Source organism: Homo sapiens, chromosome 9, assembly GCF_000001405.40.
Source record: "Homo sapiens chromosome 9, GRCh38.p14 Primary Assembly".
Classification (NCBI taxonomy): domain Eukaryota; kingdom Metazoa; phylum Chordata; class Mammalia; order Primates; family Hominidae; genus Homo; species Homo sapiens.
The window spans coordinates 32514308-32538609 of NC_000009.12; the positions used below are offsets into that span (position 1 = coordinate 32514308).

A 24302-nucleotide genomic window follows, 5' to 3' on the forward strand; every position below is an offset into this window, starting at 1 on the left:
AAGACTTGGAACCAACCCAAATGCCCATCAATGATAAACTGGATAAAGAAAATATGGCACATATACACCATGGAATACTACGCAGCCATAAAAAAGAATGAGTTCATGTCCTTTGCAGGGTCATGGATGAAGCTGGAAACCATCATTCTCAGCAAACTAACACAGGAACAGAAAACCTAACACCGTATGTTCTCACTCATAAGTGGGAGTTGAACAGTAAGAACACATGGACACAGGGAGGGGAACATCACACACTGGGGCCTGTTGGGGGCTGGGAGGATAGGGGAGGGATAGCATTAGAAGAAATACCTAATGGAGATGATGGTTTGATGGGTGCAGCAAACCACCATGGCACGTGTATACCTATGTAACAAACCTGCACGTTCTGCACATGTGTCCCAGAACTTAAAGTATAATTTAAAAAAGAAATGCTTGACTATTGCACTTACCTTTGTGGACAAATTTATAAAATTATTTAAAATCAACTCTACATGCCTAGTTTCAACATTCACGACCAATCCTTGCATTACAAGAACTCCTTTTTTTAAGCTAATTTTTTTCAGTTCCCATTGTTTGGAATCACATTTCCAGTAATTTCTGTAAGAAATATATATGAGACCCCACATATATAATAATGTTTTCTTCTTGCTTACATACATAAATACCTGGCTAAATATAAAATAGGGGCAACTTTGTTTTACCTTTTAAATGCTGCACAGAGTTTTACTCTTTAGTTACATTAGAGTTGCAGAGAAGTCAGAGACCAACTTGATGTTGATTCCGTTAGAGGAAACCTGAGTAATCTTATTTGTGGCCAGGCATGGTGGCTCACGCCTGTAATCCTAGCACTTTGAGAGGCCAAGGCGTGCGGACCACAAGGCCAGGAGTTCGAGACCAGCCTGACCAACATGGTGAAACCCCATCTCACTTGAACCCAGAAGTGGATGTTGCAGTGAGCCGAGATCAGACCACTGCACTCCAGCCTGGGTGACAGAGCAGGACTCTGTCTCAAAAAAAAAAAAAAAAAGCCACACGTTTGTTTTTCCTGAATGTTTACATGATTATTTCTTCATCTGAGAAATATGAAAATCCTACTAATGTATTCCCTTCTCAATAAACTCACATGCAAAGTGCTGTTTCTTTCTCAGACAAGTAAAATTTTCTATTTTTTCCATTTATCTTTGCTTCTGTCTTCTCTCTCCTTTCTTGGAACCCACAGTGTAACCAAATTGTATAGACTGGATTTGTGTGAAGATACTATTAAGCACTACCTCCCTTGTAATTTTTCATTTGTGAATCATATTTTCAAAAGAACTGCCTACATTTATCTTCTCCACTTCCTTGCCCTCTATTTATTCCTGAGTCTACTCTTGCAGTTAGTTTCCCAACCATCTTATACCTTTACCTTCATCCCTATTCCACAGAAACTAGTCCTGTGGGTGGCCCCAAAAGTCAATAATGCCAAAGTAAGGGAACGTTTTTTTAGTTCTGACAGACCTTGGGTTCTCAGCATCATTCAGCCATGTTATCCACCACATCATTCTCCCTTGGTTTCCGTGATGCCTCCTTGCCCACATATGTGGCACTCTTTCCCAGTCTCTTTTCCTCCTCTGCTCATCTCTTAAATGAGTGCTTGCACAGGATTCCGTCCCAGGCTCTTTCTACTCACACTCCAAAAAGCAATCTTGAAACTGACCACAGTCCCACAGACATTTATTCCAGAAAAACAGAAATTGACCCTTCTGGTCTTTAAACTTGAAGCTTACACTTGTTTTATCTGAGATCCTTTCTCAGGCAAAAGACCACCAGGCCTCTCAAAAAGTATCAAACTGAAATTCACCAGATTATCACATCCAGACAATGAGGCCAGGCCCCTCATTCATCATGATTGCTTCCTGAGTTCCTGTTTTCCCACACAGTTACATTTCTTCCCTGCTATATAAACCCCTAATTTTAGTGGGTCAGGGAGATGGAGTTGAGACTAATCTCTCATCTTCTTGGCTACAGCTCCCAATTAAAGGCTTCTTCCCTGGCAATACTTGTTGTCTCCCTGTTTGGCTTTCTGTGTGGCTACCAGGAGGACCTAGGCCAAACCCCTGGTGCTTCAGTAACAGATTTTTGTGGCTGGGTTGCTGTGGTCTAGGAGTCTCAGAAGCCCTCCTAAGCAACTGCCCACCCAATTTTGGCTGGAAGTGAGTTTTGGTCTCTCTGGCCCTGCTGCTGCCAGCCCCAGCTGAGTTCCTGATTGCTAGGAAGAACAGCCTTTGAAATGTGACACTGGCATCTGGATAAGTGAGTGTCCTTTCTTGGCCCAGACAGCAAGATCTGCTCAATTTGAAAATTTTAAAAGGAGCTTCCATTTGCAGGTTAAACCAGCCCAACTGACTAAGAAAGGGAAGCACCCTGACTCTCAGTATGATACTCTAGAGAGCGTGTTTGTAATTTCTGTGTTTGTGTCTGGCCAAGTTAGTGTCTTTTTTGGGTACCAGACAGTGGGATCGGCTTCTCTCAATTTGGAAAATTCCTAAGAAATTTCTGTTTGCAGGTTAATAAAGCCCGATTGAGAGAGAAAAGCACCTCGACTGTTTCAGTTTGGACACTGTTCGGGCTTGTCTATTGCTTCAGCAGTCGGATTGTGTTTTGTTGATTGTATGTGTCAATATAGTAATGGGAAATTAGAATTCAACAAACAAATATTCTTTTGTACTACGTTTGCCCCAATATTCTTTGGAATCTGGAGTTGGCTGTTGAATGGGAAAGCCAGGTGGAGTCCCATGTATTCTGGCTTTTATGCCGCTGTTTTAAGCAGGGTTGGGCCTGGTGAGTAGTTTCCACATGACGTTCTTCTGTAGTGCTGTTTGGCCCCAGGTTTCTTTGGAATCTAGCTTCTAAAAATCAAACTGCCATGGAAACTGCTTTACCCAAAATTCTGGTTCACAGCCTTCATTGGATTACCGATTGGAGCAAACAAATTTTAGCCATGTGGACTTGGTTGTAGATTCGTGAGTTTGTATTGCTATCTCATGGCTAGAGTTCCAAGGTAAAAGCTGTTGGATCTTTGTGTGTGTATACATGTTTAGATGTGTTTATCTAGATGTACATTAACTATGTTATACACTATACCTACCAAATTGGCTTATAAATAAGAGTGCTCATAAATTAAGTCCAAAGTGTTTTTCAAGTTCACATGACTTCAGTAAATCTTTAATAAACAAGCTGTCTTTAAAATTATTGGTAAAATAAAAATAGAAATGTCTTCAGAATTGTCAGCATACATTTTTGTCTCGGCTTTATATTTGTCTCAGCTAGATAATTTGAGGTATCAGAGTTTGGCAGCAGGTTATAAAGCTATAAACCCAGTGAATATTTGTGTGAATTCTTTATAAGACTAATTTAATGCTGTTAGTTTAATGAAAACAGCTGAATCTTCTGAGTTATTGATCAAAATGCCCACGTATTAATTTTAAGGTTATTTAGGTGAACACCTGACATTCACAGGTTATAAAATGGTTAAGAAGGAAATGATGCAGAAATAATCTAGATAAACTGCTAAAAATAAATAAAATGTAAATGGTCAAATGCTGTAAATGAACTTTTGGCATAATCGGAAATATAATCATTGGATGTTTGAGTCATTTCCAATTAAGAAAAGGTTATGATGTGGGGAACATGTTTCTAAAAATTGTGGAATGGTTCTCATCTATAAAATACTAATATCTGCTAGGCAGCTCAAGATTTCTTGCTTCCTAGGTTTTTACTGAAATTTAAGGTTGTTACTAAGGATAAGAATTCTAGTTCATATGTAATTCTATATATAAAATGTGCAAAAGACAATGTGTTTTTATTCAGAAAAAAATTTTATCTAACTCAGAAGTTATCTAAAGTTTATTAATAATTATGGACTTGAAAGGTTACTTATGAAACAAGGTAGAAAAGAACAAGTAGACGAGAGAGATGTGGAGAAAGTTATGAGTATAAAGATGTATTTTTGGTAAGGAAGGTTATAAAGAAAATAATTTTGTATGACAAAGCATCTTATAATGGTATTTTTTTTGTCCTAAAGTAAAATGACTGTTTAAAAAAAAAAAAAGAAGAAGAAAAAGAACGAAAATCCAGGACAAATCAGAAAGTCTAAGCATATCATAGATGGTGTGTGTAAGTCATGTAGTTTCTTTCCTATTTCTTTGTGTGTCTACCTTTATGTACAGACAGAGAAAATACAAAGTATAAAAGGCTTAAATAATATTCTCTTAAAACCAGATAGAATATTGGAGAAATCTGGCTAATTAACACTGCTCATAGTTAAAGCTCTTAGTCTTGATGAAAGTAAAATAAGAAATATTGTAAAGAAACACATTGGCAGTTTGGCAATCCTTTCTTAATATAGTTAACCATGAAGCCAGATAAAAGCCAGATATAGCAACAACCAAATTTCACCTACATGCTTGCATTGCTTCACACTGTATTTGCTCTTCTGCATAGATATACTATCATTACAGTATAATACTTACTGGTCGGCCTCCTCCAGAGTAGCTGGGATTATAGTTGTGTGCCATCATGCCTGGCCAATTTTTGTATTTTTAGTAGAGATGGGGTTTTACCATGTTGGCCAGGCTGGTCTCAAACTCCTGGCCTCAAGTGATTCACCCATCTTGGCCTCCCAAAGTGCTGAGATTACAGGCCTGAGCCACCACGCCCAGCCTAAAGTGAATTTCTTAATTGCACAAAATATATAGTGGTATTGGTGAACTTAAAGACATTAAATTGTGCATCAGGAACAAAATATTCATCATGTGTTTTTTTGGCTCTGGGTAACACTATAGCCTCCAAGTTAAACTGAGTAGAAAATTTTCAGGTTGGTTTCCTGTTTGTTTTTTCTTTTAATTTGCATTTATTTGCTGTTTCTTCTTCTTTAGGTTTTACTTATATATACATATTAATAAAACCATTGATGGCTTTTAGTTTCTAATGTAAGGAAGGCTTTTATTTGGTTCCATGAATAATCATTTTGTTTCCTATGCATTTCCAGTATCTCATCATTTGCTCTACTTATCCAAAGTTCCTAAGCTACCTTTTTCAAGCTTCCAAAAATTGTTGGTGGACACCAGCCTTTAAAATTTGTTTGGTTTTGCTTACCTCTAATGAACTAGAGAGCTATAAGAACTTTAAGATTCCTGGCAAAAAATAATAAAAGGTTTATTCTTCTAAGTTCTGAACAGAAATAGTACATTATTATTGGTTATTTGGAAAAGTAGGTGAGAGAAATGTTTAAGTGGTGTTTATTTCCAAGGTAATTCAATTCAATAAACAATAGCGGTTTCAGATCTTTTCCTTTAATGAGGCAAAACTGCTATATGGGTACAAAGTCTTAATATTCAGAAAAAAATTGGCTTTGTCTTTAAGGAAATTATATTGATTGGGCTTTCTCTCAAACTAATTTAGTTGTGTTTACTATTATTAAGATTAAATAACATTTACTTGGATTAAGTCATAAAAAAAATTATAAGACTTTCTAGTGTTTTTTTTATCCTAAGCCATTTATCACTGATGGGCCTTCACATGTATACTTGAAAACAAAATATGTACATACAAGTGTTATGCCAGTTTGAAGATTCTAGTGGTGTAAGTCACTTAAATCAGTTGTCAGTACTTTATCTAGAAACCAATCTTGGAAATGTATGATGAGGCTCTTTCAAAATAGCTGAAAAGAAATTACTGTGTGCTTATTGTCACTTTGTCCTTGTTTTGTTGTATACTTTTTAAATGAAAGATTTATCTTCATATTGAATTTCCAAAACTGATACTTGCATTTACCATTTTTTTTTTTAATGATGGAAAGAAAAGTTAACTATCTTACTTTGGTAAGTTTGGCACAGGACTTACCACATTTTTGAGGCTCTAGGTCACAGTTTTGTCACTAGAATGCTAGCAGATAAATGCAAGGAGTAACCTAACCACTTTAATACAATGGATTGTATAATGGGTTGAAGTGTTTCAGACAGTAACTACTAGGCACCAAATCCCAGGGTTTTATTTTGTGACATATTAGAGAGAATGATGAGGTTTCCTGCAGTATAAATATGCTATTAAATAATTCTTAGGAAACAATTATTTAGTAATTCAAAGGCCTTTGACTCCTGGATCCAAAAAAGACACCAATACCTGCTAAATCTTGAGCACTGACACCAAATGAAGCCTCGTCTTCAGACTCAGGAGAAGGTGACAATCAAAATGAACTGCTTTCATGAGACATAGGGCTAGAAATTAAAACCATTCAATCCCTCTACGCCCAGGAACTATTGCACAAAAGGTGAGCACGTGAGCTTGTAAGGGCTGATTTTGAGTTATAAAATTAGTTCAGGGTTTTTCTATAAATTAAACATTAACATCAAAAGCACACTGATGCAAGGCCAATGTCTGGGCCCCTGTGTCATAACAGGGTTTTCTTGGAGCATTACTCTACTCTTTAATAGGAAATCGTAAAACGTTATAAAAAGATGGCTGGGTGTGGTGGCTCAGGCTGGGCGTGGTGGCTCAGGCCGGGGCTGGTGACTCAGGCCGGGTGTGGTGGCTCACGCCTGTAATCCCAGCACTTTGGGAGGCCGAGGCAGGCGGATCAGCTGAGGCCACGAGTTGGAGACCAGCCTGGCCAACATGGTGAAACCCCGTCTCTACTAAAAATACAAAAATTAGCCAAGTGTGGTGGCATGGCCTGTAATCCCAGCTACTAGGGAGGTTGAGGCAGGAGAATTGCTTGAACCCAGGAGGCAGAGGTTGCAGTGAGCCAAGATCGCACCACTGTAGCCTGGGCAACAGAGCCAGACACCATCTCAAAAAAAAAAAAAAAAAAAAAAACTTCACAGAAATCCTATCTTATAGTCAAACTGATTAAAATTCGGCTTATAAGGTTTTATTAAAATTAGCTTTAACATTAAAAATATACCATACAAAGGTAAAATTTGATGTTCTCTTTTGAATAAAATGTTTGTATAATATTGACATAAAATATTTGTTTACCTTTTGAGTGAACTGTGGGGGGAAGAAAAGGAAGAGGGAGAGACATTTAGTTGGCCTCATGCTGTCTTTATTAGGCCTTATTGTTGGGAAACTGAGTCGCCTATCAAAGGGTAAATGTGTTTGTTTTATCTTTTTGGCTAAATGAATAACTATTTTGTAGCGACCTGTGATCCTATTTTGTGATATCAAGTGTCTTAAATCTTTGATACTGACAGACTTCCCAACAGCAAATATTTCAAGTTCTAAATTCAGGGGGTTTTTTTTAACCTCAAACTAACTTTTTTGTGTATTAGCTTCCTTGAATTCCAATACAGACAGACATGTTAGGCTTCTTTGGTATATTAGAATTATACAGGCAGCATTATCAAATGTGAGGTGGTATTTAACTTCCTTTGGGTTATATTTGTATAGATGTGCTATTAATATGTGTTGCAGGACTATATGAGATTCCTAAAATTCTGATATGTCTTAATATATGGTGTCAGTAATGATGATTATTATGTTAAATTGTTGTATGCCAACAGAAAAAAAAATTTCCTTGTCAACTGTGTCTTTATGGCTCTCCTAAGACTTTTGTCATTGCAATTGTTGTTTTGCATTGATTCTTTTCAAAAAGTGACTTATAATCAGATATAGTCCAGAGCTTGTTTATTTAGGGGACTTCATGAAAAGGAGTCTTGAATGCAGATTTCTGATAACTTTGGAGACTGTGCCACTGGAATACAGAAAACTTCTAGGACTCTTAATTAGAGTCCCTCTTAATTAAAAGGCTGACATGTTTATAAAGATTACTAACCCAATATGAAACACAGCAGGAGTTGATTGCATGGACTGAACTAATGTGGGACTGAAATAATTTTTTATGGTTTTGTTTGAAAAAGTCTGGAGAATTTTTGTTTTTTGGAATCTGGAGAATTTTTTCTTTTAAGCTCTTCATAACCTTTAAGAATACAGTATATTAAGTAGAGTATACCCTTTTAAACAGAATTTGAGGCATTTTCTCTCTCCCTAATTTCTCCAGAATTTATAAACTATTTGTGAATATTCTTAGTTCATGGCAATGTGTTTTCTTGCATACATTTAATAAAAATCTGTTTTCTTTTATAAGGGGACACAGTTGGAGGAACAAGTTATTTTCCCAGGGCTTTGACTGAAATGGCCTTGTGAGAGGTTCCAGCAAAGCCAATTAGGAGAGCCCATATGGACAATAATTTTTGCTGCACTTTGTGTGGGTAAATAAGCCAAGTATATGTAACTGAGGCTTATTTTGCAGGTAGGCCCATCCAGCTGTGATATGTCTTTGGTGGAAGCGGGGAACAGTAATGATACAGATTGTGTCTCAGAAGAAAACTATAGTATTAGATTAACTTTTGATTCCTGGATGGCCACGTGGTCACCCATAGTATGGAACTGCCCACCACGCCATTCCTCAGCATGAAGCTGCCAGAAAGATTGAGGATCAGATTCCCCATGATCCAGGAATTGATAAATAGAAAGAGGGGGACTGAAACCAACACAATAGTCCCATATACAATTCTTTCGAATAAACATGGAAATTGACCCTCCTGATCTTAAAGCTGAAACTTATATTTGTTTTATCTGAGTTCCTTCCCCAGGAAAAGGACCCCCAGGCCTCTCAAAAGGTATAAAAGAACTGAAACTCATCAGACCATCACATCCAGACAATGAGACACCAGGCCCCTCATTTATCATGATTGCTTCCTTACCCCTCCAGAGTCCATTTTCCAACACCTAGTTATATTTCTTTCCTTCTATCCATACCCCTAATTTCAACGGGTCAGGGAGATGGATTTGAGACTGATCTCCTACCTCCTTTGCTGCAGCTCCCAATTAAAGCCTTGGCAAAACTTGTTGTCTCAGTGATTGGCTTTATGTGCAGCCAGCAAAAGAACCTAGGCTGAATCCCTGGTGTTTCAGTAACAATTGCACCCACTCTCATTGTTTCAGCAAGGATCTCCACATTAATGTCTCCCCAACTGTGGACCCTTTTCCTGAACTCCACACCTGTGCAGCCAACAATCTGATGAACATCTCTTCATGGATGTATCCAAGGCATACAAACCCAGCATACCTAAATCCGAATTTTTCTCCTCCTCCTGCAAACCTGTCCCTCTTCCCACATTTCCTATCTCAGAAACTACCATTTATTCACCCAAGGACCAAAGCCAGAGACCTGGAAGTCATTTCCACCCTGTCCTCACCCTTACCTCCTCACCACAACTCCCCAAGAGACCTATTGATTATACTTTCCAAATGTGTCTTGAATCCATCCATTTCTCCCCATTCCTCCGGATTCCTATTTTCCTAACTGGTATCCTTGCTTCCAGTTTTTCCACTCTGCTGTCCTGGCATCATTGCATCTGCCATTCTCTCTCTCCCTGTCTTGTACCTATTCAAGCCATTCCTCAAACTGAAGTCAAAGTCGTTTTTCTACAATGCAAATTCTATTTTGGTCCCCTCTCCTTATCACATTTCAGTGGATAAAGTCCAAAACTGTTCATATCCCACTTCTGCTTGCCTGTCAAGTTTCATCTCTCTGAACTCCTGCCTCTCTCTCCACAATGCCACCATACTAATATTTTCTGGATACCTGGAACACTCTAGTTTCTCTTTCACCTTGGACCTTTGCACATAAGGAGCCCTCTAACTGCAATTTATTGTCTCCTTCCAGCTAATTTTTCCTCTTTCTTTAGACCTCAGTTCAAATGCCAAATATCTGGGAAGCTTTGGCTGTGCCCTTTGGACTCTAGTAGACATCCCAGCTTTTTTCCATCAAAGCACTGCTGCACTTTATTATTTACTATTTTGTTACCTGCATTCACATAGACACACTAATCACTATTAGGGCAGGGACAGTTTCTACTGTGCTCATCATTGCTTCCTCAACTTTCAATGACACTATTAGGTAATAGGTGCTGAGTAAATTACCTCCAATGCTAACATAATACTGACACGAGTTGCTTATTTTATTCCATCAAAGTGTATCAAATCAATATATGAGTGCATGAAAAAATGGAATTCACACCAGTTGTTAGTGTTTCTTCCAAGTACTTCTTCAGGTGCCAAGCTACACTGGTCACTAGAATGCCATTCCACAACCTTTCTTTTAGTTTTGTAGAGCAATTAGCATTCAAGTTAGTTGCCGGTCTTAACGCCATTTCCAAAAACTGCAATAACATCAGGAAAGACTGGCACTTGGAGACTTTTAGGATTCCCAGGCCCCCTCTCATCGACTTTTTTTTGTTTTTCGGTTTTTTTTTTTTTTTTTTTTTTTTTTTTGGAGACAAGAGTCTCACGATGTCACCCAGGCTGAGTGCAGTGGTGCGATCTCACCATAACCTCTGCCTCCCTGGTTCAAGCGATTTTCATTCCTCAGCCTCCTGAGTAGCTGGGACTACAGGAGTGCACCACTACGCCTGGCTAATTTTGTATTTTTCGGTAGAGACGGGGTTTCACCATATTGGCCAAGCTGGTCTCGAACTCCTGACCTTGTGATCCACCCGCCTAGGCCTCCCAAAGTGCTGGCTGCAGGGAGCCGAAGGCCCTTGGGATGTGACCAACTCAGCATTCCGCTGGAGGCTATATGATCAAACAGCAAACTGTTTATCATGAATGCAGCACCTGGGCAAACTCACACTGCCTTGCCACCAAATGGTTTGCTGAGCGCCTCACTCCCTGGCGCCAGGCTCCTTGAAATTATTTATTGAGAAATCTAGCACCTATTGTTCAAAGAATGCAGTCTTGCAAGCCTGCTGTGAATCAAGCAGCCAGCCAACAAGCACCTCCCCTTCTCGCTATCTCTTTTGCCTAATAAGAAGGGCTGTGTAAAGCTCAGGGCCCTTGTCCACTAGAGGCAAGGTGCCCCCTGACCCCTTCTTCCAGATATACTCTTTTGTCTCTTGTCTTTTATTCCCGCGTTCGCCCCTCTTTGTTCAGTCCCCTAGGTCCGTGCGGGTTACATAGTGGCACCCCGAACAGCAACAGCATCGGGTGCTCTACAGCTGGGATTACAGCGTGAGGGACCACGCCCGGCCTCATCGATATCTTTTAAGTACCACCTCCTTTCACCTCTTTCCCAGAAGCCTCTGCTCATCTCCAGCACAAAGTAATTCGATACAAATTTACAAAATGGTCATTACCCAGGATCACCTGTCTCCGAAGTTAGATGGAAACACCTGTATTAAAGCCTAAAGCTATTCGGTCTGGAAAAGTCCGGCTCCTCTCCAGCTTCCACTTCTTTAGGCGTGCAAATAAGATTCGGCAGAGTAAGCATCAACTTCCTTTAAGCTCAGACCGCACTTTGTGCTCAGTACTGTAATTATCTGCCCTTTGTGTCCCATCCCTTGGACTGTAATGTATACTAAGGAAGAGCCCTTATCTTATTTCTCAATCTCTGTCAGTACCCAGCCAAGCACACAGTAGACTTTAATATTAGTGAAAATAAATGAAACAAAATTTCTTCCCCAGCTTTGAACCTAAATAGATGAGCACCCTTAAGCAAGTCACTTCACCTCGCTGGAACTCAGTTTCCCCACCTAGGCCTCCGAGGGCTCCTCAAACTCTGGCAACCTCTAGCCTAAAATGCTGCGGAGATCTTACCACAAACCTGGGGAGTCTGGCAGGCTCTCTGCATTGATTAAAAGAAGGGAACGAAGCAAGAGAAAAACAAGTCCTCAATTGTTTTCCGCCGAGAAGGCGCCGCTGGAGACACTCACCCTCCCTAAACCAGGGGGCCATGTAGCTCAGGATGTAGGTAGGGTCCAGGGTCTTCCGGATATAATCCTGGAAGGCTTGCAGGCTGCGTCGCTGCTCGGTGGTCATGCCGGCCTCTGCTTGCAGCTAGCTACGTTCCCCGCAGGCTGTGCCTCACTAGCTTTAAAGCCGGGTAGGAGGAGGGCGTGGCGAGCGGGGAAAGCAGGGATTTTCCGAGGAAATGAGGCCGGACGCGAGGCGGAGCTGCATAGGAACTTTAATAACTAAAGGGAAAATCGAAAGTGCAACTAGCGGCGGGCGGGGTTCGCGGAGGCTGTTTTGCCTCGGGCTAGTTTCGTTTCCCTCCGCACCGAGGAAGCCCGGGAACGGAGAGGACCCCTAGGAATTGCTTTTATTTTTATGATCTTATATTTTGTTTTGCTTTTATAGCGCTAACGTTTAGACACAGTAAAATGCACACAATCTGAGTGTGCAATTCGATGAGTTTTGTAAAGTGTACACCTGTGTACCCAGTTCTCCCACGTCGGCTGGGTGCCAGGGTAAGTCTATGTTTAGCTTTATAGGAAACCGCCACCTGTTGTCCAAAATGACTGATTACATCCAGTTTACATTCCCACCCGCAGTAGGAGAGCTCCAGTAGATAGACACATTGGTCAGCCTTTCTTTTTTTTTTTTAATTTTAACTTCCATCTTGGTCGGTGTGAAATGGTATATTATTGTGGTTTTAATTTTAATTTCCCATATAATTAATGGTGGGCACATTTGCATGTGCTTACTGGGTCATTCATATATCTTTTGTGAAGCATCTGCTCCAATCTTTTGCCTGACTTTGGAGTTTTTTGGTTTATGGATTTACAGGAGTTATTTATTCAGGATACAAAATTGTTAAATATATGTATTCGAAATATCTTCTTCCAGTCTGTGGCTTACCATTTCATTTTCTTAAAGGTGTCTTTTGAGGAGCAGACACTTATATTGATGCAATTTTCAGGTTTTTCTTCTGTTTGTTGTTTTTTGTGTCCTCTTTAATAAATCTTTGCCTACCCCAAGGTCATGAAAATATTGTTTCCTTTTAGATTTATATTTTTAGCCTTTACTTCTGGGTCTATTACTATCTCAAAATAATTTTGTTGTGGCGTGAGATGGGGGGTCCAGGTTCACTTTTTCCATATTTCTAATTGTTTCAGCACCGTTTGTTGAAAACTTTTCCTTTTGGCATTGGATAGCCTTGGGACCTTTGTAAAAAAACCAAGTCCATTGAATGTATATGTGTCTATTTCTGACTCTTGTTATATTCTACTTCCTACTACTTTGACAATACCATTGTCTCTAGGTTACTTTAGATTTCAACTAAGTCTCAAAATCAAGTACTACTAAGTTCTCCAAATTTGTTTTTCACTGTGAAGATATTAGCTATTTGAGATTCTTTGCATTCCTTTTTTTTTTTTTTTTTTAATTTCTTTTTTGAGACAAGGTCTCACTCTGTCTCCCAGGCTGGAGTGCAGTGGTGCAAACAGGGGTCACTGCAACCTTGAATCCCTGTGCATTTCCATATGAAATAAGAATCAACTTGTCAATTACCCCTTCCTTCCCCCAAAAAAAGTTTATGGGGATTTTGATCAAGATTGCATTGAACCTACAGATAAACTTGGGGAGAAGTGACATCTTAACAATATTGAGTCTTCTAATCCATAAGCATGGTATGCCTTTTCATTTACTTAGGTCTATAATTTCTCTCAGCAGTATTTTAGTTTTGTTTCATTTTATTTTACAGACGGAGTCTCACTATGTTGCCCAAGCTGGAGTGCAGTGGCTATTCACAGGCACAATTATAGTGTGCTACAGCCTTGAACTCTTGGGCTCAAGGGATCCACCTGGACTCAAGCAATCCTCCTACCTCAGCCATCCAGAGTAGCTGGGACTACAGGCACGGGCCATCACACCTGGCTATTCTGAACTATTTTATGTTATTTGATGCTACTGTCAATGGAATTGTTTTTAAGATTTCATTTTCAAATTGTCTGTTGCTACGGTATAGAAATACAAATGATTGGCTGGGTGTGGTGGCTCACACCTGTAATCCCAGCACTTTGGGAGGCTGAGGTGGGTGGATCACCTGAGGTCAGGAGTTCGAGACCAGCCTGGCCAACATGGTGAAACCTCATCTCTACTAAAAATACAAAAAATAGCCGGGCGTGGTGGTGGGCGCCTGTAATCCCATCTACTCGGGAGGCTGAGGCAGGAGAATCGCTTGAACCCAGGAAGCGGAGGGTGTGGTGAGCCGAGATTGCACCACTGCACTCCAGCCTGGGCGACAGAGTGAGACTCCATCTCACACACACACACAAAAAAAGAAATACAAGTGATTTTTGTTTTTTGACCTTAAAACATGCAACATTGCTAACTTCACTTATTTGTTCTAGTAATTGTTCTGTAAATTCCTCTAAGTTTTCTAGATAAATAATGATGTCATTTGTGAATACATACTTTAACTTCTTCCTTTCCAATCTTTATGCCTTTTATTTCCTTTCATTATAGTTTTTCTTTTTGAGACAGGGTCTCACTTTTGTCAACCAGGCTGCTGCAGCCTCCACCTCCCAGGCTCAAGGATCCTTCCACTGCAGCCTCCTGAGTAGCTAGGACCACAGGTGCACACCACTACACCCAGCTAATTTTTGTATTTTTTTGTAGAGATGGGGTTTCGCCCTGATGCCCAGGCTGGTCTCAAACTCCTGAACTCAAGCGATCGCCCATCTCGGCCTCTCAAAGTGCTGGGATTACAGACATGAGCCACCATGCCCAGCCAGTTTTACTTCTTTCTTTCCGGTCTTCATGCTTTTTGCCTCCTTTCTTTATTATGGTACCTCCTAGAGCCTCCTATAGAAAATAGAATAAAAGTGGTGACAGTTGACACCATTACTTTATTGCTAATTTCAGTGGGGAAATCATCAATGTAATAATAATCACTTTAAATAATATGGTAGCTGTAAATTTTTCTTAGATACCTTTTATCAGATTGATGAAGTTCTCTTTTATTCCTAGTTTGCTGAGTTTTTATAATGCATGGGTGTTGAATTTTTCAAATGTTTTTTCCTGCATTTATTGAGGTGATCATATATTCTGTTAACATACCAAATTTCACTGATCAATTTTTGAACGTTCACCCAACCTACCATTCCTGGGATAAATCTCATTTGGTTTTAGATACAAAGGATGCTATATCATGACCAAATGAGTATTTTCATAAATACTTTTGTGTCTGTGTTCATGAGGAATATTAGTCAATAATTTTATTTTCTTGTAATGTGTTTATCAGGTTTTGATATCAGAGTTATGCTAGTCTCATAAAGCAAGAGTTTGTTTCAGATTGGTATCATTTTCCCCTTAAATGTTTAACAGAATTCACTAATAAAACCATTTGGGCTTGACATTTTCCTTGTTTGAAGATTCTTTATAATGAATTCAATTTCTCAATTAGATATAAAGCTATTCTGACTTTTAATCTTTAATCAGTTTTGATAAATTGTGCTTCTCAAGTGTTAAAATAATTGGTAGGCCATTAGACTGATGTAGCTGTAACACCCTCATGAGGAAAATGAAACTTAGTTTAGCCAATCACAGTTGGCTAACTGGGACATTGGTTATATTGTCATAAATTTCTCACTTGGATAGTCCAAATAAGGCAAACACTCAAACTTTAACCAATGAAACAATTTCTTTGCTCTGTGTCCCTTCAACCCCCTCTAACAGAGCCCCAGACCATTTCTGGTTTGTAGCTGCTTAATTTATGAATCACTGCTGGAACACCTTAATTTTTTTTTTTTTTTTTTTTTTTTTTTTTTTTTTTTTTGAGACAGAGTCTCACTCTGTAGCCCAAGCTGGAGTGCAGTGGCACAATCTTGGCTCACTGCAGCCTTCACCTCTAGGGCTCAAGAGATTCTCCTGCCTCGGCCCCCAAGTAGCTGGGACTAGAGGCATGTGCCATCACACCCAGTTAATTTTTTTGTATTTTTTTAGTAGAGACTGGGTTTCACCATGTTGCCTGGGTGGTCTCGAACTCCTGAGCTCAGGCAATCCACCCACCTTGGCCTCCCAAAGTGATGGGATTACAGGTGTGAGCCACCACGCCTGGCCAGCTTGAAATTTTAATGTGGAAAAGTTTATATTTTAACACAAGGAATTTGATCATTTCCTCTAAATTGTTAAATGTATTGGCATATGGTGTTCGTGATAGACCTTATTATCTTTTTTGCCTTTTTAAAAAATCAGTCTTGCCAGGGATTTACCAATTGCATCTTTTCAAAGAACAAACTTTTAATTCAATAATTTTATTTTTTTAAGAGACAGGGTTTTGCTGTGTCATCCAGTAAAATGGACTCCTTGGATATACGTTAATCAAATATAACTTTAACCTCTTTTAGCTATAACTCTTTGTATTCTTTTAGCTATAGGTCTCTCTCCATACACACATACACATATATATTTGTATACACTCTACATATTATTTTATACGTGTGTGTGTGTGTATTTAGTGGTTGCACTAAGGATTATAATATGTATCCTCAACTTAATCTATTTAGAACTAATATTGTACCACATTAGGTAAAATATAAGATCATCACAACCATGTAATTCCACCCCATCCTTTTTGCTATCATTGTCTGAAACTGTACTTCTATATGTTATAAAATACATACTACAATAATACAATGTTATAAACCTTGTTATAGCTTGTTGTCTTTTAAGTAAAATAAGAAAAAAATTAGTTTTTGTTTTTCCATGCTGTTTGCTATTTCTGGTGCTATTCATTGCCTCTGGTAAACACTGGTTTCCAACTAATGTTATTTCACTTCTGTCTTCTCCAATTTGTTAAGGCTTCCAGTAACTTTTTCATTTTAGGTTTGTTTTTGTTTTTTTTTGTAGTTCCAGGATTTCCATTGTTTCTTTTTTCTACTTCTCATGTCTCAGCTGAGAACCACTATCTGTTCATTCATTAAACCATCTTTTCCTTTAAGTTCATACACATATTTCTAATAGTGTCTTTAAAGCCCTTGTCTGTGAATTCCATCTTGGAACCTGTTTTGGTGACGGCTTTTTCTCTTGACTATGGGTTCATTCACATGTCTAGTATTTTTTTTATACTGGATGCTACAGATGTATTATAGAATCTCTGGATTCTATTATTTTACTCTCAAGAGTATTACTTTTTGTTCTAGCATTCCACTGAATTACCGATGAATTACTTTAAACTTACAAAGGCATTGTTTACACACTGTGGTAGGTCTGTTTCAAATTTTGCCCTTCTTGCAAGGTAAGTCCTTAGTCCTGAGTCATAGTCTTCCACAGTAAGCTGTGGCCCTGCATGTTCCAGTGAAAAGTCCTACATGTTTCTCAGCCCATCTAAGTTGGTGGGATTCAACCTCCAAGTTCTATATTCCCTGTGGTGGTGGCTGAAATGTATCTATTGAGCCCTTTTAGCTTTCCAGCTATTGCTTACATGGGCTTTTTGGAATCTTCCCTGCACATGTACATTTCAGGGTCAGGTAAAGATTTGAGTGAAAGTTATACAAAAATTTTAGGGCTTGTTTTCTGTGTCTACTTTCTGAAATTTCTCCCTCAAAATGCAGTCACTCGGGCAGCCCCAGGGTCCATCTTCTGACACAATGTCTGTGGCTCTCTGCTTGCATTCTAGTCTCCCTATGGACCGGGGATGACCCTCAGATGAAATGCCAAAGAAACTGTTCTTATACAGTGTCATCTCCGTCTTTCAAGGGTCTAATTCCCTCCAGTTTCTGCTTTTTGATTGCCCTCCAGTGGCTTCAAGTTCTTTATACCCTTATGTTTTGCCTATGTTTATAATTATTATCTCATGCAAGCTACTCTTCCAATACCTGGATTTGGGTTTTAGCTGAGAAAAAGAAATCAGATCCAAAATTCCTTTAAAAAGGTAAAGACATGCCTCCTTCTATGCTACTAGTGGGAAATAATGTATTCCTGAATAACAACAGATTTAGAAAACATCAACAATTACAGTATAGATTATACCTGAAAGAACTGAAGGTCCAGAAATGGAATCATTTGACAGATTCATAGGTAAAATTTGACCAAGGCCAGGAAAGAAGGGGAGTGTCACAGAAGGATAAGATCACAGAAGGATTAGGTGATATCTTATCACCTAATACCTAGGTGATAGGTTGATAGGTGCAGCAAACCACCATGGCACACATTTACCTATGTAACAAACCTGCACATCCTGCAGATGTACCCCAGAACTTAAAATTAAAAATTAAAAATTAAAAAAAAAATCTCAGTCTTAGACCATCTCCTCACCTGGGCATTAATTTACTCAACACATTTACAGAATATCTACTGTATGTCAGGTACTGTGAAAAACACTAGATACATGGAGATAAGTGGAAAAGAGTCTCTGTCAAGAGCTTAGAGTCTGATTGAAGGAGGAAGAAGACACAATAAAGATGTAAAAACACAAATAGTAACTGCCAAATGTGAAGTGACATGGAGAAAACTATTTCAGTACAGTGGTAAGGGAATACCTTTCTGAGGAGGTCACATTTCAGCTGAATCCTGAAGAATGAGAAGGAATTAGCTATTCAAAAAAAAGCAGGTAGGCCGGGCACAGTGGCTCATACATGTAATCCCAGCACTTTGGGAGGCCAAGGCGGGTGGATCATTTGCAGTCAGGAGTTTGAGACCAGCCTGGCCAACATGGTGAAACCCCATCCCTACTAAAAATACAAAAAATTGGGTGTGGTGGCACACACCTGTAGTCCCAGCTACTCGGGAGGCTGAGGCAGGAGAACTGCTTAAACCTGGGAGACAGGGGTTGCAGTGAATCGAGATCACGAGATCACGCCACTGCCCTCCAGTCTGGGCAACAGAGCCAGACCCCGTCTCAAAAAAAAAAAAAAGCAGGTAGGAGACAGAATGCACAGAAGAGTTTTTTAAAAAAAGTGAAAGATGCAAGATGCTTGTAGCTGGAACTCTGTGAGCAACAAGTAAATGGTATTGCAAGTGGAGCTGAAACAGCAGCACCTTTAATGCAAGGAATGAAGTGCAGTGAGAACATACTGCAGGGTTTGTTGTTGTTGTTGTTGTTGTTTATTTTTTTTGAGATGGAGTCTTGCTCTGTTGCCCAGGCTGGAGTGCAGTGGTGCCATCTAGGCTCACTGCAAGCTCTGCCTCCCGGGTTCACGCCATTCTCCCGCGCCCACCACCATGCCAGGCTAATTTTGTTTTTGTATTTTTAGTAGAAACAGAGTTTCACCGTGTTAGCCAGGATGGTCTCCGCCTCCCAAAGTGCTGAGATTACAGGTGTGAGCCACCGCGCCCGGCCATACTGCAGGGTTTTAATCAAGGAATAGCATAATCTGATTACATTTTTTAAAAACCTCTCTGGCTCCTAGCCAGAATGAGATCAGTTGGGAGGTGACTCAAGTAAGAGATGCTGAGCAGCATAGATAAGGACACTGTGGCAGAGAGTGTAAGAAGTTAATTGAGATATATTTTAGAGACAGGATTGAGTGGCTGGCAGAGGAAAGGAATGAGAAAAATCGAGGATAAATTTCAGGTATCTGGTTTGAGCAACTGGGAGAATGGTATTACCATGACTAAAGTGGAGAATATGGCTTTAGAGCTTACCACATTCTAGTGAGGGAGACAGACAGAAAAGTAGATGTTATATAGTAATAAGTGCTGTGAGGAGAAATAAAGTAGAAAAAGGAATAAGGAGTAATGGGGCTGCTTATATTAGATGAGTTGGTCAGATCACGTAAACAAGCTCAGGCCAATGTGCTGGAGGATGAGAAACCACATAGAGCCCAGTAACCCCAGGTGAAGGCTTAGATCAGCCGACCTACAAGCTGACTGAAGACACACAAGAATGCCAGTCAAGACAGTCTTGGCAGGCAGTATCTCTAAGAACTAATATGACGCAGATACTGGTTTTGGTAAACAGGCAGGGTTTCTGTTTGAGCCTGTGCTGATCATAACTGCCCAGCCAGTCACTCAATCCTATCTCTAAAATATATGGGTGGTAGAGAGAAATAGGTTTGAGGAGAAAAAGGTGTAAAGAAGCCATTTTGTCAAATACAATGAGCAAGAATACTACAAAAACTTGCCCTCTAATGTCGTACAGCTTATGAAGCTGATGTACACCAATCTGCACGGTTACCAGTTACTGATTTCCTTCACAATACTTAGCAGCATGCACGTACGCAGAACCGAAGAGCTGGGTTCATCCAGACTGAGATCTTGCTAGGTAAACTGTAGGCCAACTACAGCTTGCATTCCAAATCTGGCACGTGTCTTGTTTTTGTACAGACCAAAAGCTAAAAATTGTTTTAACATTTAGAAAGTGTTGTAGGCCAGGCATGGTGGCTCACACCTGTAATCACAGCACTTTGGGAGGCCAAGATGGGAGGACTGCTTGAACCCAGGAGTTTGAGACCATGCTGGGCAACAAAGCAAAGCTCCACCTCAATTTGAAAAAAAGTGTAGAAAAAAACAAAGATTATGTGACACAGCCTGTGTATGGCCCTAGAGGAAAAGTTTCCCAACTCCTAAAGTAGGTAAATGATGAAAGAAAGAAGGGCAAGTGAGTTGGAGGGTATTGCAAGGAGAGTGATTAAAACATTATCTGGAAAATCATAACTGGACATGAAGGAAAGCAAAGGAGAGTGACTGATAGAGTAGAATCTAAAGATGGTACTTCCCAGTCCTATATTCTAAAAATCCTATTAGATTTCCTTGGAGGCAGCCTAACCTGCTCCACCAAGGCAACGGTTTCTAACATAATCATCACATGAAAGTAAGAGTGAGGTGCTCCCAAGAACCTAAAAATAAGATTAACCTCTCAAAAAGTCTATGTTCCATAGTGACGAGGGCACTGTATTAGATACAGGAGACACAACATAAAATTGAAGAGGCAAAGAAAGTATGTGGGACTATGGGAAACACTTCTTGGCCTCTTTTGAAAGTTTCTTTTCTGTTGCCAGCCAACTTTTCATATTATGTTCCCTAGAATTCTCACTTACGTCTGCTTCTCTTGCTCTACCTCCTCTCTGGAGTATCTCATCCTCCCACAGCCTCAGTACTACTCTGTTTCACAGCAACTCCTAAATCATTTCTCTAGCCCCAATCTTGCCTCCAAGATTCACACTCCAATTTTCAGATGCCCACTGGAAATTTTCCTCCTGATGAGTATCTTCTATTTCATCTGTGATGGTGGGAATGTTGTATACCTTTACAACATTAAAAAAAAAAAAAAGAGTGGATTAGAAACATAACCCAACTAAAAAGAATAAATAAATTAAAAATAAAGAATGTGGTAGCCACTAGCCTCATGTGGCTATTTAAATTAATTAAAACCAAATAAAATTTAAAGTTCAACTCCTAGGTTTTACCAGCCGCATTTTAAGTGCTTAATATCAACATATGGCTAGCAGCTACTATAGCACAACTCCAGGCTGCTTCGTTTCAAACAACTAATTTTCCTCCCCAGACTATTCCTATTCCTATTCCTATTTCTCGCCATGGATATTGGTATCACCATGCATCCAACTCTCATATTGAAAAAAAAAAAAGGTCTGGTCATCCCAGACTTTTCCCTCTCCTTCACAGCCCATCTCCATTTAAATTGTACCCAAATATTGTGTTGTGTACCTCAGAAATCTCCAATCTAGCCCCTTCTCTGGATCCTTATTGTCCCTGTTCTTGTACAGGCCCTTCTGATATCTGGTTTGAGCTACTTGTCAGAGCTTTTTTTTTTTTTCTTTTTTTTGTGTGTGAGACAGGTTTTCACCCAGGCTGGAGTGCAGTGGCGTGATCATGGCTACTGCAGCTTCAAACTCCTGGATTCAAGCGATCCTCCTGCCTAGGCCTCCCAAAGTGCTGGGATTGCAGGCATGAACCACTGCATCAAGACAAGACCTTCTTAAACAGTCTTTTTCTGAGGCTTTCCCTACTCAAAACCTTCTTCTACATTACTACTAGTTGTTTCTTAAGAACAAATCTAATTGTTCCATTCCTACCTTTTTTAAGATTCCTGTTAGTTCCATCCTATTCATCCTTATATCCCTAGCATTTAGAATACTCTTGGACTCTATGTACTCAATGCCTGATGAATAAATGAGTTTTACAAATAGAAAAGCAAAGGGATATCCCCTTGTCCAGGAGAGAACTATTTACCTATTTACAGTGCAGTCATGCAGATAAGCTGGAACCAGCCTACTCCAAGCAAATTGTAGAAGATGCCTAACTTTGCCCCCTTATTACCCAATGTTCTAGAGCAACCACAGTTACAGATTCTACAGGTAGGAATTTGGCCTCAGAGCTTAGCCTAATTTGAACTCCATTTCCTTGCCTCTTGCTTTCTTCAAGGACAGATCCAATGTTATTTACCATCGCCCAATATCTTTGCAGGTAAAATAGGAAACAACTTACCGATTTTCATGACATTGTAACAACTAATCCTACTGTATTTTTTAAAATGGCCATATCCCACAGTTTTCTAATAACTGATTCAGGTTTTGACTAAAAACCAAGAATGAGGAAATAATCATTTATTCAGCACATTTTAAATCTTCTCTGCATGCCTGCTGCTGTGGAGGAAGACAAATATAGTTTAAAGGAAGATATAATCACAATACAACTATTTTCTTCTCCATCCTGTATCTCCTGCCATCACAGAATGCCTTTCTTGTTGAGGATATACCTACAGCCTCGCAGATCATTATTCTCAATTCCAGTCACCTTCAGCTTCACCTGTTTCAATTTCAGTCACCTACTTCCAACAATGCCTACAATTAGGCACTCTCTAATATATATATTTTGTCTTCTTACTCCTGCCCTTGTACCTACTGGAACCCCATTGGAAAATGAATCCCTTGATACTCTCCCTGTTCTCCAAGTATATTGGCCATGTCATAGCTTCACTTCCCTCCCTACTCAGCCTAGGTAACAGAATGCATCAATTCCGCTACTCTCGCCACTCTATCCCTCAATTCCCTTGCCCCTTTGTCCTTTTACTGCTCACATCCAGAACATCCAATCATAAATCCACCCATTTATTCATTTGCTCAGTACAAATACTAAATGAATACTATAGGTCCAACATTAGTTTCTGCTTCTACTTCCAATGTTGAATGCTGGTGGGACAAAAAGAAGTCACAAATCATAGTGTCCCACAAATTCAAATATCCCATCTCAGGTGAGGCCTCAACACTAATCAGCAATTCTTAACCCTCTCTCTGTGCCTTTCAAGGGGCATTTTTTCCACTCCTCCTCATGATCCAACCTTCTCAGAAGATGGCATTCTTCCTACTTCATAGAGCAAGGAGAGGCTTTAGGGCATGTATTACCTCATCTTAATGCATCTACCCACAAATGCTTTTTTGTCTATTTTTACCTCCTGCCATTTTATAGTAAGACTTGCCTTTGCTTGTCCATTGCTAATTTCATTTCTCTGTGCTCTGGACCATCTTTCTCATTCAGGAACTTTGTTTCATTAGTCAACCTTTCCTTCTCAAGGGGCTCTCTTCCAAAAAAGGTTCCTCTCTCCCTCCCATTTTAAGTTTCAAAACAAAAACAAAGCATATCCTTTTTATTTTATACCCCTCTAAACTCTATACTCTTCTAAAGGTGCATCCACACTGAATGCTGAGGAAATCAAGGGTTTTGACACAGGGAAACTCCTCCCTCTCCACTTCCCATTCCTTGCCCCTGTTGGTGGGAATACTGGGAGTCCCAACAGCCTAAACCAGATCACACTTGGGTTCCAGCACCCCAAAGCACCTTCCAAAATTTTTTCTGCATCCAGAGATGTGCTACTGGCTTGCTCAGCATGTCTACATCCTGCACTGGCAGGGGACTGCAATTATTCTTCACAAGGGAAGAATTCCCAGCCAGTGTGGGTTGTCAGCTTGCCTCCTGTAAACCCCTTTGTACACACTGCCCATCTTTACTACAGACTGGATGAGTTAGTGAGGCCTTTTAGATTGGCTAGCCTAGAAATTGGGGAAGACTGAACTCCACTACTTGGACTAGGAGGTAAAAAGTAGTAACAAATTTTCGTGTTGTGAACCTCAGGATCATGATCATGAGTAAGGAAGCATGAATGGTTTAGTTACATTTCTTACATAGATTAAATGACAAGTCACTACACTGAGAACCTGAGGTAAAATAAAATGGCATGGACACTGAATTCAGATGAACATGTTAAAAGAATATACTATTATTCTAAAAGTTTATAGATAGTGGAGCTTCTTGAAAGCAGGCCTTAGCCCATTTTCAAATTCTCCAGGTCCCATTCATTCACCCAGTGTTTTAAGCATGTTGGTTGTCAAGTAGTGAAAGAGTCTAGCAGTACACTGATACATAGTTTCACAGAACTTTCAGACTAGTGGGAGATAAGGCATTTAGTAATCAACTGCTAATTGTGATGAGTGGTCTGAAGGAGCCTGGAGTTGTTTGAAGCAGTTTTGGGGAGGTGGGAAGAGGGCACACTTTTAACAGAAATCTAGTTTAGCCAGGGT

General features: G+C 39.7%; 1 protein-coding gene across 7 annotated transcripts in view, besides 1 other annotated feature; it reads right to left on the reverse strand.

Moving 5' to 3' along the window:
- Positions 1–11889, reverse strand: part of RIGI (RNA sensor RIG-I) — a 70895-nt gene extending 59006 nt beyond the window's left edge. For all 7 annotated transcript variants that reach the window (NM_001385912.1, NM_001385913.1, NM_001385907.1 and 4 more), the window contains exon 1: positions 11754–11889. Coding sequence is in view for 4 of the 7 variants with exons in the window: in NM_001385913.1 (NP_001372842.1) it covers positions 11754–11859 (106 nt within the window). In the remaining 3 variants the exon portion in view is untranslated. The remainder of the gene's footprint in view (positions 1–11753) is intronic.
- Positions 11790–12039: an enhancer, noted in NCBI's record as "active region_28262". NCBI's record gives its function as "activates an Ori minimal core promoter by ATAC-STARR-seq in GM12878 lymphoblastoid cells {active_cell/tissue: GM12878}" and the evidence as "EXISTENCE:reporter gene assay evidence [ECO:0000049][PMID:35858748]".